The following is a 15,310-nucleotide window of genomic DNA, read 5'->3' on the forward strand; positions in this document are numbered from 1 at the left end:
CAGAGAGACCCGGGTGAATTGAGAATATGGGAGATGCCATGCAGGGGTTTGGGAATGCCATATAACCCTTCTGGATGGTTCTTGCTCCTGCTCCCCATCCTCCCTGGGGGTCTCAGTACAGATGAGGTTGTAGGATCTTAAATTCATCATTCAGAACCTCACTTCCCCAGGGCTTCCCTTAACCCCATCTTAGGGATACCAGTGCAGAAGCCGTGTCCTGGTGCAGAAAGGATTTTGGTAGGGAGCAGAGGAGGCAGAAGTCTGGGCTCTGGACCAGTTACCTGAAGGCATTGCGAAGTTTCTCTCCCACTGGGTATGTCCGGTCCTTCTTCTCAAACTCATCGTCGAAGAGGGTAAGGGAGTATGCGGCTCTGTCTACCACGTAGCGGGGCCTGGGCTGGCTCATATCTGGGGCATTTACAAGCTTTGGGAGAAGCAGAGGAGGGGAGGGTGAGGGAACATCCCTCCCTAGTGCCAGCCCAGGCCTTCTCTCTCTGGTCCTTGCAGTAGCAGAGTTTTATTCTGGCCTTCCCCGCCCCGATAAAGCAAGGTGCCTCCCTTCCCTCTGTCAAGTTTTTCCGTCAGACTCCCTGCTCGCAGTGGCCTTCCTTCCCAGGCACTGATGATGCATAGACTCACCCTGGCTGTTTTGCTTGGCGCTCAGCACGTGGCTGGCACTCCACACCTGTGGCGTCACCATCACCCCCACTGAGCACCAGGCAAAGGGGAATCACGAGGGCAGGAGGCCCCACTTGATTCAGCAGGTGGACCCTCCCCTCCCCTGACCCCTGGTGTCCCCACAAGCCATACTCCCTTCCCAGACCTCAGTTTCCCTGGCAGAAAGGCTCCTACCATTCAGCCAGTCAGCTTGGAAGAAACAGAAAACAGCTTGCCTAGAGGCAGGGGGATAGCTGAGATGACCTCAAGAGGACCCTTCTTGGATAAGACATCTAGAACTTCACCAACAGGTTTCCCAGGGGGACAATGGTGTGTGTGGGGAAACCAGGATGGTCCACCTGCCGGCTCTCTCTCCCACGGCTTCCTGTGCCTAATCTTTCCCCCACCCTTGTGTACTGCCGCTCCTCTCCTCCTCACTTTTTGCGCAACCTGGCTGACGTTCCAGGAGCTGAGATGGGCAGAGCTGAGTGCCAGGGCCCCTGAGGCCCGGAGGAGTTCCCTGTAGGAACCTTTCCCCCTCCCTCTTCCAATTACTGGGTCTCCCACCACCCCTCTACCTCCCAGAGCTGGGAGAAGTTGCTCAGAGGACCACAGAGAAAGAAGGACAGAGAAGAAAGAGATGGGGAAGGCTTAGAGTGAGGATTTGTATCTGGGAGGTGGGGAGTGTGGGGTGGCTGTGGCCAGTTTGGCAAAAGATTTGAGATGGGGTTGAAAATGAGTAACTACTTGGGGGCTAGAGATGCCCCCAACTTCCCAGAGGAGAGCCTGGGTGACAGGGGAGGTTGTCAGAGGGGAGCAGGTTGCTTAATGCCTTTTGTGGAAGGGTCCAGGAGCCTGGGTTAATCCTGCTTTTATTAATGAGGCAGAATGGTCAGCATTACTTTTCAAACCTCAGATTCTGTATCACTAAAGTGGGAGTAACAGACATATCTCACAGGGTTGTTGTGAAGATCAAATGAGTTAATGGATAAGAAGGGGTTGTGTAAAATGTAAAGTGTGATGCAAATGTGAGTTTCTATTATGAATAAGATTGTGCTCAAGTTGGTGAAGGCTGGGCTGGTGCATTCCATTCATTTGGTCTTGGGATCCCAAGGTCCACTTGAACTACAGGTGAGGGTGGGATGCCCGGCAAGACCCCACAGGTGATACCCAGCAGAAGCGAAGGTGGGAGAATGAACCTACCCCCAGCGCCTGTGCCCAGCCCCTCGCCTGGCCCTTAGTGTGTACTCAACACATACTTGTTGAGCGAATTGATAAATGGTGTTTTGGAGGAGACATGGGCAGAAATGAGTAAGGGCAATGGCATGTGAGACATTTCAGTGGGAGAAATGAGAGACCGGGTGGCTTAGGGAAAACAGCACAAGTTTGAGAGCCAGATGACCTGGGTTCAAAGATTCAGTTTCTTCATCTGTAAATGGGGATAATAACAGTCGCAGGCAGATGCTATGAGGATTCAGTGAGATCATGTGTATGAAGAGGCTGGCCTTTTATAGGCACCCAGTAAATGGTAGTGGCGATGATTACTATGATTAAGATGGGAGGGTGCTTTCTACCTCCTAGCAGAGACTATTCAGAGGCTGCCGGCCCTTCACCGCCCGTGAGGCGGGGTGGTCTCACTCTTCCTCTCCACCTGCTCCAGAGTCTGCATGGGTCTGGCTGTCCAGGTGGTTTGCCTGCGGGGGCTCAATGAGTGGGGAGCATGACCTCCCCACATAGGAACCCAGAGCTGCAGACCTTGCTTCAGAAAAAGACTCATGGTTTGGGGAGTCTAGCCCAGGCCACTAAACAGACCACTTGCAAAAAAAAAAATAGCCAAAAATTTCAAGGGGGGCTGAGTCAGAAAAGAAGAGCCCTTTGGAAGAGGAGGTGATGGGTGATCTTGCTTCCACACCAACCAGCAGGCAGCGATCCCTGAAGTATGTTCCTAGGCTGCTTTCAAAGGGTCTAAGTTCCGGTAGTGTGTTTGCGGGGAAGGGAGTTATTAGCATCTGATTCCGCTGAACCCTACTATCCCAGCCCCCGTCCCCAGGATTTCCCCACTTCCTCAGTGGTACCTTTCTTCCTGCCACCCAGCCCACCCCCATCCTTGTTCCTGTCCTCTCCCTACCCCTCAGCCTCCATATTCAGTTGTTCATCAAATCCTATTGCTATTTCCTTCCTTCCTTCCTCCCTCGCTTCCTTCCTTCCTTCCTTCATGTCCTTCTGTCCTGTCCATTGCCTCCATACCTCCACCCACCCTGTCCCATTGCCTCCCTCTTCAAGTCTTATCTCATGTTTGGACTATTGCAAAAATTGATCTGCTGGTCTCCAGCCATGCCCCTCCAACCCAGCCTAAACTCCCTGCTCCGAAACCTCTATCTCCCTCATTTCCAGGAGGATGAGGCCCAAACTCCTTATTTTGGCATTTTTGTTTTTTTATCCTCTGGCCTTGTATTGGTGGATTCAGGAAATCTGTTGGCTGGGTCCCTCCACACCATCTGGGCTGGTCTGTTCTGCACCCACCAAACAAGCCTGAGTCTCTGTTCCCACTTTCCTCCTTACCTGAGGTGCCCTGACTCATTTCTGCCTTTCTAGATCTGCCCATCCTTAAGACCTGTTGAAGTTCCTCCTCCAACCCTCTCCTTCCTCTCCCACTCTTTTCCCTTCTCCTTCTTGCCTATGAAGCCTTTCCTGACCACCTTGAAACCCTGAAGGATTTCTCTTTCTCCCAGGATCTCCATGTGCACCCCTCCAGCCTGTACACTAGTGTTGGCTTTGGCCATTTTTCTTTGGGAGGAAAGCGGCAGGGGTGGTGGAAGTCCTTCAGAGAGCAACAGGTAGGTGACTCAGGACCAGCTCTGCCCCTCTGGGCAGACTCACTGACAGATGGAGCACCAGATACTAGGGAGTCCCCTCTGACACAGGCTAACAGAGGAAAAGCCTCCCTTGCTTTACTGGAATACCAAATCTGTCTCTTTCCCATGCCATCTGCCCATCCCAGGAATAGGATGCTGAAGGGGAGAAGGCTCTGGGAGCTTTCACAATCCTGAGTTTGCATAAAGAGGAGAACCCAGCAGCCAGTCAGAGTCAGAAAGTTTTGTGTAGAAGAGAACTTGAGGACCACATTTGTCCAATTGTCTCATTTTGCAGATAAAGAAACTGCACTTGATTTAACTCCAGTGTTCCTATTCGAAGGGGCTTCAGACCTTCCAGGGACAAAGCTGATCTCAGGACAATGTTTTCCCCTGAGTGGCACTCAGAATGCCCCTTTCTGACCACCCTGGTGACCTTGCCACCCCAGCTGATGGGACAGGACCTCTGGGTTCTGTTACTCCTCTTGAGGGCTCTGGTTCCCTCCTGGCCTTGGTTTCCCAAGAATATGATGGCCAGAGTTGCAAATCTGCAGCCACAGGAACTGCCCCAGCTCCTGCTGAGAAGGCGCCCTCAACATACTTCCTAATTCCAAGAATAGGGGTTGAGGTGGGGTGGGACGTAGAAGACAAGGGTACTTCATCCCCAGCCAGCCCTTCAGGTGAGGGCAAGAGGTGGAGGGAAGGGGGATGGGAGTGGTGGAAAAGGGTGGGTGGCATGGTGGGGAGGAGGAGTCTCAGAGAACTAGCAGGGATGGGAGTCCCAGGGAATCCTCAGAGAGGGTGTCTCACGATGCCAGATGCTACATTAGGGGCAGGAAAGTGGAAGAGGGAGCAAGAAAGAGAGCCAGGTATAGGGAACATAACAATCTGATCCCCAGTTAAACAAACAAACAGCCATGATAAGTGATGTCAGCATCGCTGGAAAAAAAAGTCAAGTGCCCTATTGCCAGAGGCGTGTATCTACAAGCCCTGCCCCCACCACCCCTCCACTGCCTTCCATCCCCCTACCGGGCCAGGGATAAATAGCAGGTGCCATGTGATAATACTGAGAAACAAAAGGGTGACCCTGCCCCTCCTCCACTGTGCAGGGAAGGGGGGCAGGTCCTAAAGAGCTGGAGGGACTTAGAGGGGGTCTGTAGGGTTTAAGGGGAGTAGGGGGTGAGCCAGGAGAGCAGAGGGCAGGAGATGTGGGTGCATGGGCCACTCCCATGCACTGGCAGGAGAGTGGGTCAAATCTGGAGCAGAGGGGATGCAGGGGTCGTGCGAGCCGGAGTAGCTGGGAGAGGGGAAGCAAAGAGAAAATAGACCCTGCAGGGAGGGCACAGGCTGGAGCAGATTCCCTCTTGAGATTCTCCAGGATTTCTCCTCCAATGAGCTCATGCCAAAGCACGCCCCTGGTACCTTCTCCCAGTCACATTTCTAACCAGGTCTCTGTCAACACCATCCAAATATTGTAGGCAGAGATGGGCTTGGGCAGAGATGGGCTCAGGCAGAGACAGTGCCCGAGTGGATGCACTGAAAGGCTCGGAACGGCACCTGGCCATGGGAAGCATGCAATAAACTCCAACTATCATCATTACTGCTATGACTCCAGAGGAGCCTCTTTCTTGCTCTGCCATCTCTAGTGGGCACTCTGCCTTTTTTTGGCTTGCCTTTTTCCATCTGCCCCTATACCTGCTGCCCCATGCCTTAACCCCTCCAAATTTTCCCAGGACTTGATGAGAGGAACAGCAGAAAATCTTGTCAGAAGAGGGTAGAACATCTGCAGAGCAGGACTGTGAGGGGTCCATTTGTGGGTTTTGGTTGGATCTGGAGGTGATCCTGTCACTGTGGGCCAGGCTGACTTCCTCCCTCAGTCCTGTCGGGGGTGTGCATGTGAGGGAGGGGGTTTTTGACGCATGTGTGCCAGGTACGGGAACAGCCCCGGCTGGGCCAACCCACCCTGGCATCCTTATCACTGGTTCCTAGCCAGCCGGTTGCTGTGTTCTGGGAAGAGGAAAGGTCACCTTGAGGTTTCCCCTTTGCTCTAGCTGCTGGTTGCCTCCCTGCCTCATCCAGGGTGGGGGCCACAGGGTAAGAGCAGCCTCTGAGTGACCCAGGTGTGAATGTGAGCTGGGACAGACAAGCTGGCTGGGGTCTCAGTGGGAGACCACATCCATGGCAGGAGGAGGAAGGATGTAGAGGCCTCTGCACCCCTAAGGCTTTTTTGTTTGTTTGTTTTGTTTTTTTGTTTTTGTTTTTTGAGGTGGAGTCTCCCTCTGTCACCCAGGCTGGAGTGCAGTGGCACGATCTTGGCTCACCACAGGGTGCACTTCCTGGGTTCAAGCAATTCTCCTGCCTCAGCCTCCCTAGGAGCTGGGATTACTGGTGCGCGCCATGACACCCAGCTAATATTTTTTATATTTTTAGTAGAGACGGGGTTTCGCCATGTTGGCCAGCCTGGTCTCGAACTCCTGACCTCAAGTGATCTGCCCTCCTTGGCCTCCCAAAGTGCTGAGATTACAGGCTGAGCCACTGCGCCCAGCCCCCCAAGGCATTTTTAAACACTCCTTTTCCTTCTACTGTCCCTGTGTTTCCAGGGCAAATCTCTCCCTACTCCTCACCCCAGCCTAATTTCCTCCTCAGTGTAGGGGAGGATGAGATGTCCCTAAGGTGTCTTAGAGACTGCATCCCGTGTAGGAGAGAGATTCACTGATACCACCCCCCAAATCCCCACTCCTTATCTCCAGGCGAACTCTCCCTCCTCTGCACTTTCCCTGCTGGGAATGGGTGCTGGGCTGAGGAAATAGGCTCCAGAAAGAGGGACCAAGGCTAGACTTTGAGAATCACTTCCTAACAGCAAGACTGACAAGGTCATGGGCTCCCTGGAATGGGCACTTGAGGTTAAATTCCTAGAAGTCTTTAAGGAGACTGGGGTTGCTTTCACTTGGAAGCAGGGCCTGGGCAAGGAGACCAGTGAAGGGCCCAGCTGCTCTGGTCCCAGAAATCCAGGCGAAAGCCCAGAGAGGCATCCAGTGAAGATCAACTCCCCTTGAAGGGGTGGCTCTGCCCCTTCCATCTTCCAAGTAGTGACCCCACAGCCCCCAAAGCTTGGTCAGTGTTGAGCTGGTCCTCGATTCCCCCAGCAAGTTCACGGGGGTCAGTCTGGCTGTTTAGTACGGTTTAAGAGGCACTCTTGAATACTGGGTATATGCCAATCTCCGGAAGACTCTGGGCATTAAAAGATAAAGAGGAGTCCGTCTCTGCCCCAGGGTTTATACAAATGAGACTCAGAGAGCAGGTGGCTAGCTCTGGGAAGTGCCTGGGAAGGCCTTCCTGGCAGTGGAGGTGCTCTTGGCCATGCTGGTCTCCATGCTGCCCAAGCAGGGTCTTGCCAGGTTCTGGATGCCAGGGCCAGGATGAGGGAGGTGGGGGAGGACTGTGGGGTTCTGAGAAAGGGTCATCTGCATGAGTGAAGCCACTCAGGGGGAAAGCCCTCTCTCAGTCTGCCCACTTGGGGGGCTGCGTCACTCCAGGGTCTTCTGGTCCTCAGACCCGTGGGGCCAAGTGTAAGGGGGCAGTTGATGCTGGAATAATAGAAGCTTTGTTAGGTCTCAGCTGGGGACCCTCTGGGCTGGTTTTGAGGAATGGGGGCACTGCCTGAGAGTGGCTTGGAACCCCTTGGAGCTGCAGGATGAGGGGTTTGGAGGCTGAGAGCCTGGAGAGCTGGCTGCCCATCCACTGTCCTGGCCCAAGCCCTTCTGTGTTGAAGCATTCACCATTGAGTCGGGCGTCCCAGGTCCAGCTACCGCCCACCCGCCTGCCTGATGGAGCTGGTCCCTTGCTCACCCTCTCCCACTCCTCAGTTTCCTCCCCCTCCACCTCTTCCAACTTCTCAGGACTAATGGGGACACATGGGATTCTGTGTAGTCCATGCTAAGTTCCCCGAGCTGGTGGAGAAGTACATGAGTGAAGGAGGATGTCTGGGCGGTAGAAGGAGGGGGAGACAGCCATGCAGAGTAGGCTGGTGAGTCAAGCATTAAGAGCTTTTCCCTCCAAGACTTGAAAAGAAAGGGAGAGGAGCAGCCCACAGCTTCAAAGGCTGTCGCGGAGGAAGGTCTAACATTTTCCTTTCCCTCGGAGGCCTTTGCCTCGCTCTGTTTCGGGGTCTGGCGACCACCACACCCTCACCCTACTTGCTCCCTCAGTCAAGCCCAGCCTTGCAGCCCAGGTCCTTACATAGACGTGAAGACCCAAAGGGCTCCTCAGAGGGGAAGGGCTGGGAGGCTGCTCTCAGACTCCAGGGGCCAGAGTGTCCTTCCTACTTGTGCTCAGCTTGGCAGTTGGTTCCTGTCATCCCTCCTCTCGGTACCCCTGGTGACTGCCCTCTTGCAGGGATGACCCCAGCCCAGTGGGGTGGGCTGGGCTGGGTGGGGCTTACCAGTGGGTGAGCAAAGCCGGCTGGGCAGGGCTGCAGGTGTGTCTGGGGAGCGGGCAGCCGAAAGGTGTTCCTGAGGTGTGTGAAAGGGCTCTGCTCAAATAATCCAGGGAGGCGTTTATAAATAACTTTTCCTCAGGGCCACGGGGTGAGCCCCGGCTTCTGATTGGCTCAGAGGGGAAGTGGTTTTGAACACTACACCATAGCTAAGCCTGAGGAGATAGGAAAAGGAGATAAGGGGGAAAAGGTCCCAAATGAACAGCCCTTTTTTTGTTTTACCTGGGGAGCAGGGCTGTGTGATGGGAGCTTGGCACTTCCTAAATCCACCCCGAAGACAATAGGTCACATTCAGCGGGGCTCCTGCCCCACCGGCTCCCCCAAGGCGGCCCTGGAGGAGGGGGACGAGGCAGAGGAGGGGGACAAGGCAGGACAAGCTCCTCTGAGCTTGCTGTCCTGCTGCTTATGGGGCTGGGGGTCAGGCCAAAGAGCCTCTTGGACAATGGGAGCTATTGAGGCCACCTGAGGGGTGTGCTCTTGGGGATGCTTGCTTTGAAGATTGGAGATCTAGGGGGTGGGAAGACAGTAGTCCTCTGAACACCCCTGAGGAAGGGGAAGAACCATGTCTGGGAGGCCCTGGGAGCCTTTAGGCGGTTTTGGTTTGTGGTGGAGACCTGGTTCCCAGTTCTGTCCCCAATGTTAAGTTGCTTGTGAGCTCTGTGCCTTGGTCTATCCATCAGTGCAATGGGGGAAATTATTCCTGGCCCCTCAGGTAGTGTGCAAAGAGAACACAGGGGTTTAGAATCTGATAAAAGAGCTCAAGAAACTGGACTTAGAACAATTATATGAGAGGCGACCTGAAGGCTAGCAAATCTCCAGTCACAGCCCTCTGCCGCTTCTAGGAATTAATGTCTCCCTGGGTCATGGCACTGCTCCGGCTGCTGCCAGCAGAGCTGCCCATCCCAGGCCCATTGAGTGCTACGGAAGGACCTCAGAAAGCAATTGTGGACAGGGGCTGGGAGGGTGGGTAGGGGAGTTTCTTAATTTACTTCCTGGGAGGGAGAGTCACTACCCGACACCAGGTGCCCATTCTTTGAGACATCAAGTGCTGCACTGTCCTCGTCCTCAACTGTCCTCCCATCTCTCCAAAAGAAACCAGAGGCTCTGAAGTGGGCTGGAATCAGTGCAGGGGGCTTCAGTAAGGCACCTCTGGAAGTTGGGGCGAAAGTTCCCCATGGTGAAATGAGCTAGCTTCAGTACTTAATAGGGACTCAATAAATATTTGTTAAATGAATGAAAGAGTGAATTGTCTGCAAGCCCAACCCAAGGGATAGTTTGTAGATGCATTGCTTGTGGGGACTAGGGAAACACCCGAGGTCACTCAGAGTTGTCAGGGTGTAGCCAGACAACTGGCTGAAGAGAGCCAGAATTCAAGTGACCCAAGTGTGCCCTGACACCTGGCTGAGGGAAGGATGTGTGCATGGACACTGCCTCGGGGAGCCCTTCCCCAGACCCCTATGTGGACTTAGCTGACATGTTGCACATTCGTTCCTCTGGCTTCCTCTGCTTCACTCTCATAACACTGACCACAATTAATGGTAATTATGTATGGAATTGTCAGTCTTTCTGCAAACACCGTGAACTCCCTGAGGAGGGCAAGGGGGCAGTGCCTCTTTTGTATCCCTACCCACCTAGCCCAGTGCCCGGCACTTAGGAGGAGCTCAATATAGATTTGAGGAATGAATGAACAATTGTATGATAGAGTCTTTAAACAAAGCAAAGCCAGAGGGCGAGAATTTGTCCATGCATCTTCAGTATTGTCCAGTGTCATGGGTAGCCTGACCTGTTCTAAACTTTGCCCAGGAAATTCCTAGAAAGCAGATGAGTCATTATGTTCTTCCGATAGCCAGGTGACAGTGGCTATCAAGATCAAACAACTAAGTCCCCTTGCTGAGACACCATGTCCACCAGGGAATCTTCTGGTTGTATGTCCTTTAGGGCAGAGAATGCACTGCCCAGCTGGTTGGAGCGACTAGGGCTGCTTTTGCAGGCATGCTTCTCTTTTAAATGACCCATGGACATTCTGGGCTACCCATTGGTCCAGTGTGAGTTTTATTAATGTGAGTTAGTATCCCCTGAGTCTGACCTAGTTTCCACAGTAACACTTGGTTTTCCCACAGGTGATTTGGTTTAATTCTTATACCAAACATATAGGCATGTTACTGTCATTTTTTGATGAGAAAACTGAGTTGACTGAAGTGAAATCACTTATCCAAGATCACAAAGATCTGAATGGAAGAGGCAGGAATCTAACTTGGCTAAAATGGCTTCAAATCCTCTGCTTAGTCTACGATATCATCTTAACCTTTGAGCCTGCGAAGCTAAGGATGAGATCCTACAAAAGACCATACCTTTTAGATACCATTAGGCTCCCTTGCTGGTATAACTCCTAATGTAACCTGGATGAAGACGTCTGGGGCCTCCAGGATACATGCTGGAATTGGAAACTTGTTGTTTGTCCTCCTCAAAACTTTTCTACTGTCTCAGCAAAATTCTGGGCAGGTAGCCCTTGCATTATAGGGGCAGTAGGGATAGACGAACCCAGAGATTCCTCTGAAGTCACCAAGGAAGATGGACAGGGGCCTCAGAATCTGGGGCTGGTCATTGGTGGGAGGCCCAGGAAGGAGGAAACCAGATCAGAGGCTAGGGAAACAGAAGACAGAAGGGGGAGTGCCCCGATGGCTGAAAAGGCATCTTAGGGGTATCTTGGGTAGAATTAAAGTGTGGACAAATTTAGGGTTGGTGGAGGGAACACAAAGATATGGAGAGATAGGTGACAGAAATAGAAACACAGAGAAAAATGATGGAGACAAAGACTCAGAAACAGAGAAAGGAGCCAAGGACACATTAACAGCCATAGCAGCTCAGCCTAGAGTTTTGCTAAATCATTTGTGTTTCATGATGAAAGCGATGAACAGCAACCCTATGCCTCTCTCTGGAGCAGGAGAGAGAATCCTTCGGAAGCAACCTACTTCACCCCCAGCCCTAGGGTGGGATGCTGCATTCATTCATTCATTTATTCATTCACTGGAAACCCCTTATCAAGTGCCAGGATCCTGTCCTGGGGAAAATGAAATAAATCAGACACAATCTCTGTCATGAAAATATCTCACAATCTGGTGAGGAAGACAGGAAGGCGAAGAAACCATTGTAGCATGGAACATAGGGTGCTATGGGAGTACAGGGGAGAGGTGCCCAGATCAGCCCTCCAGCGGACAGAGAAGGAGCCGGGAAGTCTTCCAACAAGAGGAGGGCAGGAAGCTCAGTCACAGCTGTAGCCTGGACACCTGAGCTATAGACCCCAGGTGGGGAAGGACTCCCAGGAAGAAGTAGGATGGCGGCTGCCCCTGAAAGCACTGTTTCTAGAAGGGATTTCCAGCTTGTTCCCAAGTCCTCTTTGACTTCTGAACGCACCCAAGATTCTCTGCCTTAAAGCCCATCCCTGTGTTCCCCTGTGATCCAAAGCTTGCGACCACACACACACACAGTCACACTGAACAGTCACACGTAACACTGAGTTATGCAGATAAACCCAAAGTATTCCTAAGGTTCCCTCCTGACACATCTCACCTCTGAGCTGATCTTGCTAAGAAACAGCTATTTTTCAGATGAGCAAACTCAGGCTAGACCTGCAAAAAGGAGACAAATTCTGCCACCTCTGTCTATCCTTGAGCCTCTGGTCTTATCTGCACCTGCTGGCTTCTTGCACGTGTGCCCTGTGTGGGTGCCAAGGGTGTGGGCAGAAACATGTTTTGGGCAGAGCAGCCCAATGACTTAAGCAAATACCTTAAGGCTAAAGACAGCAAAGTCTTCACCACCCTGCCCTGCAGTGGCAGGATCTGGCCTGGCCCTGCGCGGCTGCCAGTTTCATGAGTGCTTGAGGACTGGTGGGACTGCAGAGGTACCCAAGGAGAAGCGAATCCTCACTTCTCTCCCCTGGGAAGCCCAGGGGCTCAAGTACCCCAGCTGTGAGTATCTTAGGCTGGTCAGGAGACATGGAAGGCAAGGTGAGTAGGGTGATGCCAGCCAGTGCTTGGTCTTTCAACACAGGGAACTCCTAGCATGTGCCCAGCACTGTGCTAGGCACTGGGCACGCCAGACCCAGTGAGAACCAGTCCTTGGGAGATCAAGACCCTGGCAGGAGCAGGCAGAGGAGGCTTCTAGAATACACACAATGACAGAGCTGGGGGACAATATGTTAGGAGGAAGCTTAGGGTGGACTCTGAGGTGGCGAGGGTCTGGACAGTTCTTGTCTGGAGACAGTCAGGTCAGCATTGACCATGATCCCTGCACATCTGAGGCCGGAGGAAAGGACGTGGCACAAACCATAGAACGGGAGACAAGGAAGGGGCCTTAGGGTCCATCTGGTTCACCTCCCTCATTTTACATATGAGGGGGCCAGGGACCTGCCCAAAGTCACCGAGAGAGAGATAATGGCAGAGCTGAGGAGATGGCTCAGGTCGGTGCCTGCTTCAGGACCCCATCCTATCCCTCCACCCTGGCCCTGGAGCACAAACCGAGCCCTCTCTCCACAAAGAGGGCAAGAAGTCATGTGGGGACCTCCTCCCACTCCCCATTCGGTCATTACCCAGACACACCCTGGGCTCCGAGGTGGGCATATGCCAGCTGCCGCTGCAGAGGGACTGTTCTGCCCATCTGAACTCGGCACTCCTTTAGGAGTGGTTTAGGGTTGGGGTTGGGGGTGTGGGGGAAGCAGGTCTGCAGTGTCAGGGCTTGGGAGCCCAGGAGGATACAACTCCTAGGTGGGCGGGTCCTGCAGCTTCTAGAAAGAGGAAATGATTCTGCTCAGAACCAGAAATTGGCCTGGGTGAGGGTGTTCAGGGCAGTTCACACTGCCCTGGGAATGCTGAGACTGGGGCTAGAGCTAAGGAGGAGGTGAGTTCCAGGTGGTTAATGTTGACTGATGGGCCTCCTGGCTGCAATCCTGACACCGGGACCTTAAGCCAAGCACATATTAACCTGGGTGTAGGGGCTGCTTCTAAGCAGGGGATGTAGACCCCCAATTCAGGGAGAACTGAGAGAGCTGGAGAAGCATGGAATTGAGAATCTTGGGCACCAGGCCTCACCCTATCTCTAGGATCTGGCTTAGGCAGCGAGGGTATTATGGCAGAGGTGGTTTTTCTGACTGCAGTAAAGTCATAGGAAAATGATACCTTCCCATCTCCCTCTTCCTATTCCACATTCTCCAGGAAAGAGTCTGAGACTGGAAGGTGCCTAATACCCACCACCTGATCCAATCCACCTGACTCTTCCTCCCTGGTGACTCCTGACCACACAGACCTCTGTTTTCTGAGTGCCAACAGCTGTGCAGTCTGAACCACACTGCCGGCGGAAAGTGAGGTATTCTAGGTCTTCTAGGTTAGTTTTGTCTCCCAGTGGTTCCTTGAGGCCCGGGACTGTATCACAAGCACTTGTGAGACATCAGAATGTACTGGAAGAAAGAAAACTTTAGCCTCAGATCTTAGCTCTGGGGTTTGCTAGTCATGAGACCTGGGGCAAAGTATTAAACTCCCAGGCTCAATTTATTCATCTGTGAAGGGGGCTGAGTGGCAAAAAAGGAGGTGCGGTTGTAAGGTGAATTCCTTTCCTTCCGGCACAAAGACAGGGCCCAGGAATGACCACTAGTGGCATGGCCATCTGCTTATCTCCATCATCTCTCTGACAGTGCAGTGTAATCAGCCCTTCAGCCATACCCCAGCTAGGCGAGGCCCTTCTCAACTGCACAATGAATGGCCCTTGCTCCCTTGTCCCAGGGAGCCAGGAGTGCAGAGCTCCTGTTTGCAGGTCTTGCCTCACAATCTCCCAGAGATGCAGCCAAGTGGCAGAATGGGTTCCAGAAGGCTCCCCACCCAAGCTTCTCCAGCAGAGCAAAACCATGGTGGCAGTACCTGCACCTGAGCCCTGGAGCCCCAGCCCCCTCTGCCTTTTCTCCTTTTGGAAGGTGCCAAGTGGAAAGGGTGTGAGTGAATGTGTGTATGTGTGTCTGCAGTGTGAATTTTGAACAAGAGTGAGAATGCTTTTCTAAAAGAGAGGGGGACCTGTGTATGTAGTACACCTTTCCTCTTCCTCCCTCCTCACCTCCACATGCTCCCTGGTGACCAGTGGACCTTTGCCTAGCCGTGGATGCAGCTGAGCCCTCTCACCTTCTAGTTACCTGGAGCTTTCCTGCCTAAGGAATAAACCAGACTCTCTAGAGCCAGACCCACAGGTGTAGGCAGCTTTTGCAAGAACAGAGTCTTGTAGCAGGGGCTGCTCCAGTTCACATTGGAGGGAAGGGAGTGTGGAGGGGCATGTGTCTACCATGAGAGTTTGGGGGACAAGTCCAGAAATTTATCAGCACCCCTCTGCAAAGTAAACCTCCTATTGCTGTGGGGTTTTTTTACCTGCCAAGGTCAGGGTACTTAGTTCCCTGATTCTACCCTCCCCCTTTCCAGCAACCTTGCCAGAACTGATCACTGAGGGCTAAGGCGGAGCTGGTAGCAGGGTCAAGGATAGGCTTGCAGCCCTAGAGAAGGGGCATGTCCACCCTAGGAAGGAGACTGGAACCAAGCCAGGGCTTTAGTCTGGGACACACTCAGGTGCCCTGACCAGCCTAAACTCCACTCTCCAACTGGGATTGGAGTCAAGTGTGAACTGTGCATGGGATTCCCTGAGCAAAGTGGGCCCAGTGTGAGGGTAGAGGAGGAAAACAGGGACTGGCCTGCTGGGACCTCAGCTGGGGCCATTTCTCTGGGTCTCCCGGCACAGCAGGCAGGCCCTAGGTAGGTGTGACAAAGGCTGGCTGAGTGGCGCTGGGGTCCAACCCTCAAGAAGTACCTTCACCCCCAGAGTACAGGAAACAGGTCACCGAGTGAGTGGGTTCTTGGTCAGCTGGGGCTAATTCCTGTCAGCCCTCCAGGACTGTGCTCTGGCCTGGCCTGCTCAGAGGGCCGCATTGTTCCCTGGGAGCCTCTTGAGCATTTAGCTTGTCTTGTCCTGCTGGTACATTCATTGGCTGTGATTCCTGCTGAAGACATCTTCGGGGGCAGGCAGGACGCCAAGCTTGCGGGCAGGACTTGAGCTGTTCCACCGAGCAGGGAGCTCAGAGGCAGCAGGGACTCGCCAGCCTGGGATGTGACCATCTGGGGCTGTTTGCCAAGGGCAGGAGCAAGTTTGCCTGAGAAGTTCTGACACCCCCACTGGCCCTGGCAAGGAGACTGAGTGCAGGCTCTGTGTGCAACCGGAGTGTCCTGAGATTGGCTCTGTCCCCCCCAGAAACAAGCTGTGTGATTATGGGTGAGTTAAT

At 53.2% G+C, this 15,310-nt stretch overlaps 1 protein-coding gene and 1 long non-coding RNA gene across 7 annotated transcripts in view; one reads left to right on the top strand and one right to left on the bottom strand.

Moving 5' to 3' along the window:
- Positions 1–8,042, bottom strand: part of SLC26A9 (solute carrier family 26 member 9) — a 30,405-nt gene extending 22,363 nt beyond the window's left edge. For 4 of the 5 annotated variants that reach the window (NM_134325.3, NM_052934.4, XM_047443936.1 and 1 more), the window contains exons 1-2: positions 7,951–8,042; positions 282–424 (exon numbers count right to left, since the gene is read on the bottom strand). In NM_134325.3, coding sequence (NP_599152.2) covers positions 282–406 — 125 coding nt within the window. In that variant the 5' untranslated portion in view covers positions 407–424; positions 7,951–8,042. The remainder of the gene's footprint in view (positions 1–281; positions 425–7,950) is intronic. The other variant, XM_011509121.3, reaches the window with a different exon arrangement.
- The window catches only part of SLC26A9-AS1 (SLC26A9 and RAB7B antisense RNA 1), a 43,183-nt gene that overhangs the window by 502 nt on the left and 27,371 nt on the right, over positions 1–15,310 (top strand). For both annotated transcript variants that reach the window (NR_110984.1, NR_110983.1), the window contains exon 2: positions 194–353. This is a non-coding gene — a long non-coding RNA (SLC26A9 and RAB7B antisense RNA 1). The remainder of the gene's footprint in view (positions 1–193; positions 354–15,310) is intronic.

Source organism: Homo sapiens, chromosome 1 (assembly GCF_000001405.40).
Source record: "Homo sapiens chromosome 1, GRCh38.p14 Primary Assembly".
In the NCBI taxonomy this organism is placed as follows: Eukaryota; Metazoa; Chordata; class Mammalia; order Primates; family Hominidae; genus Homo; species Homo sapiens.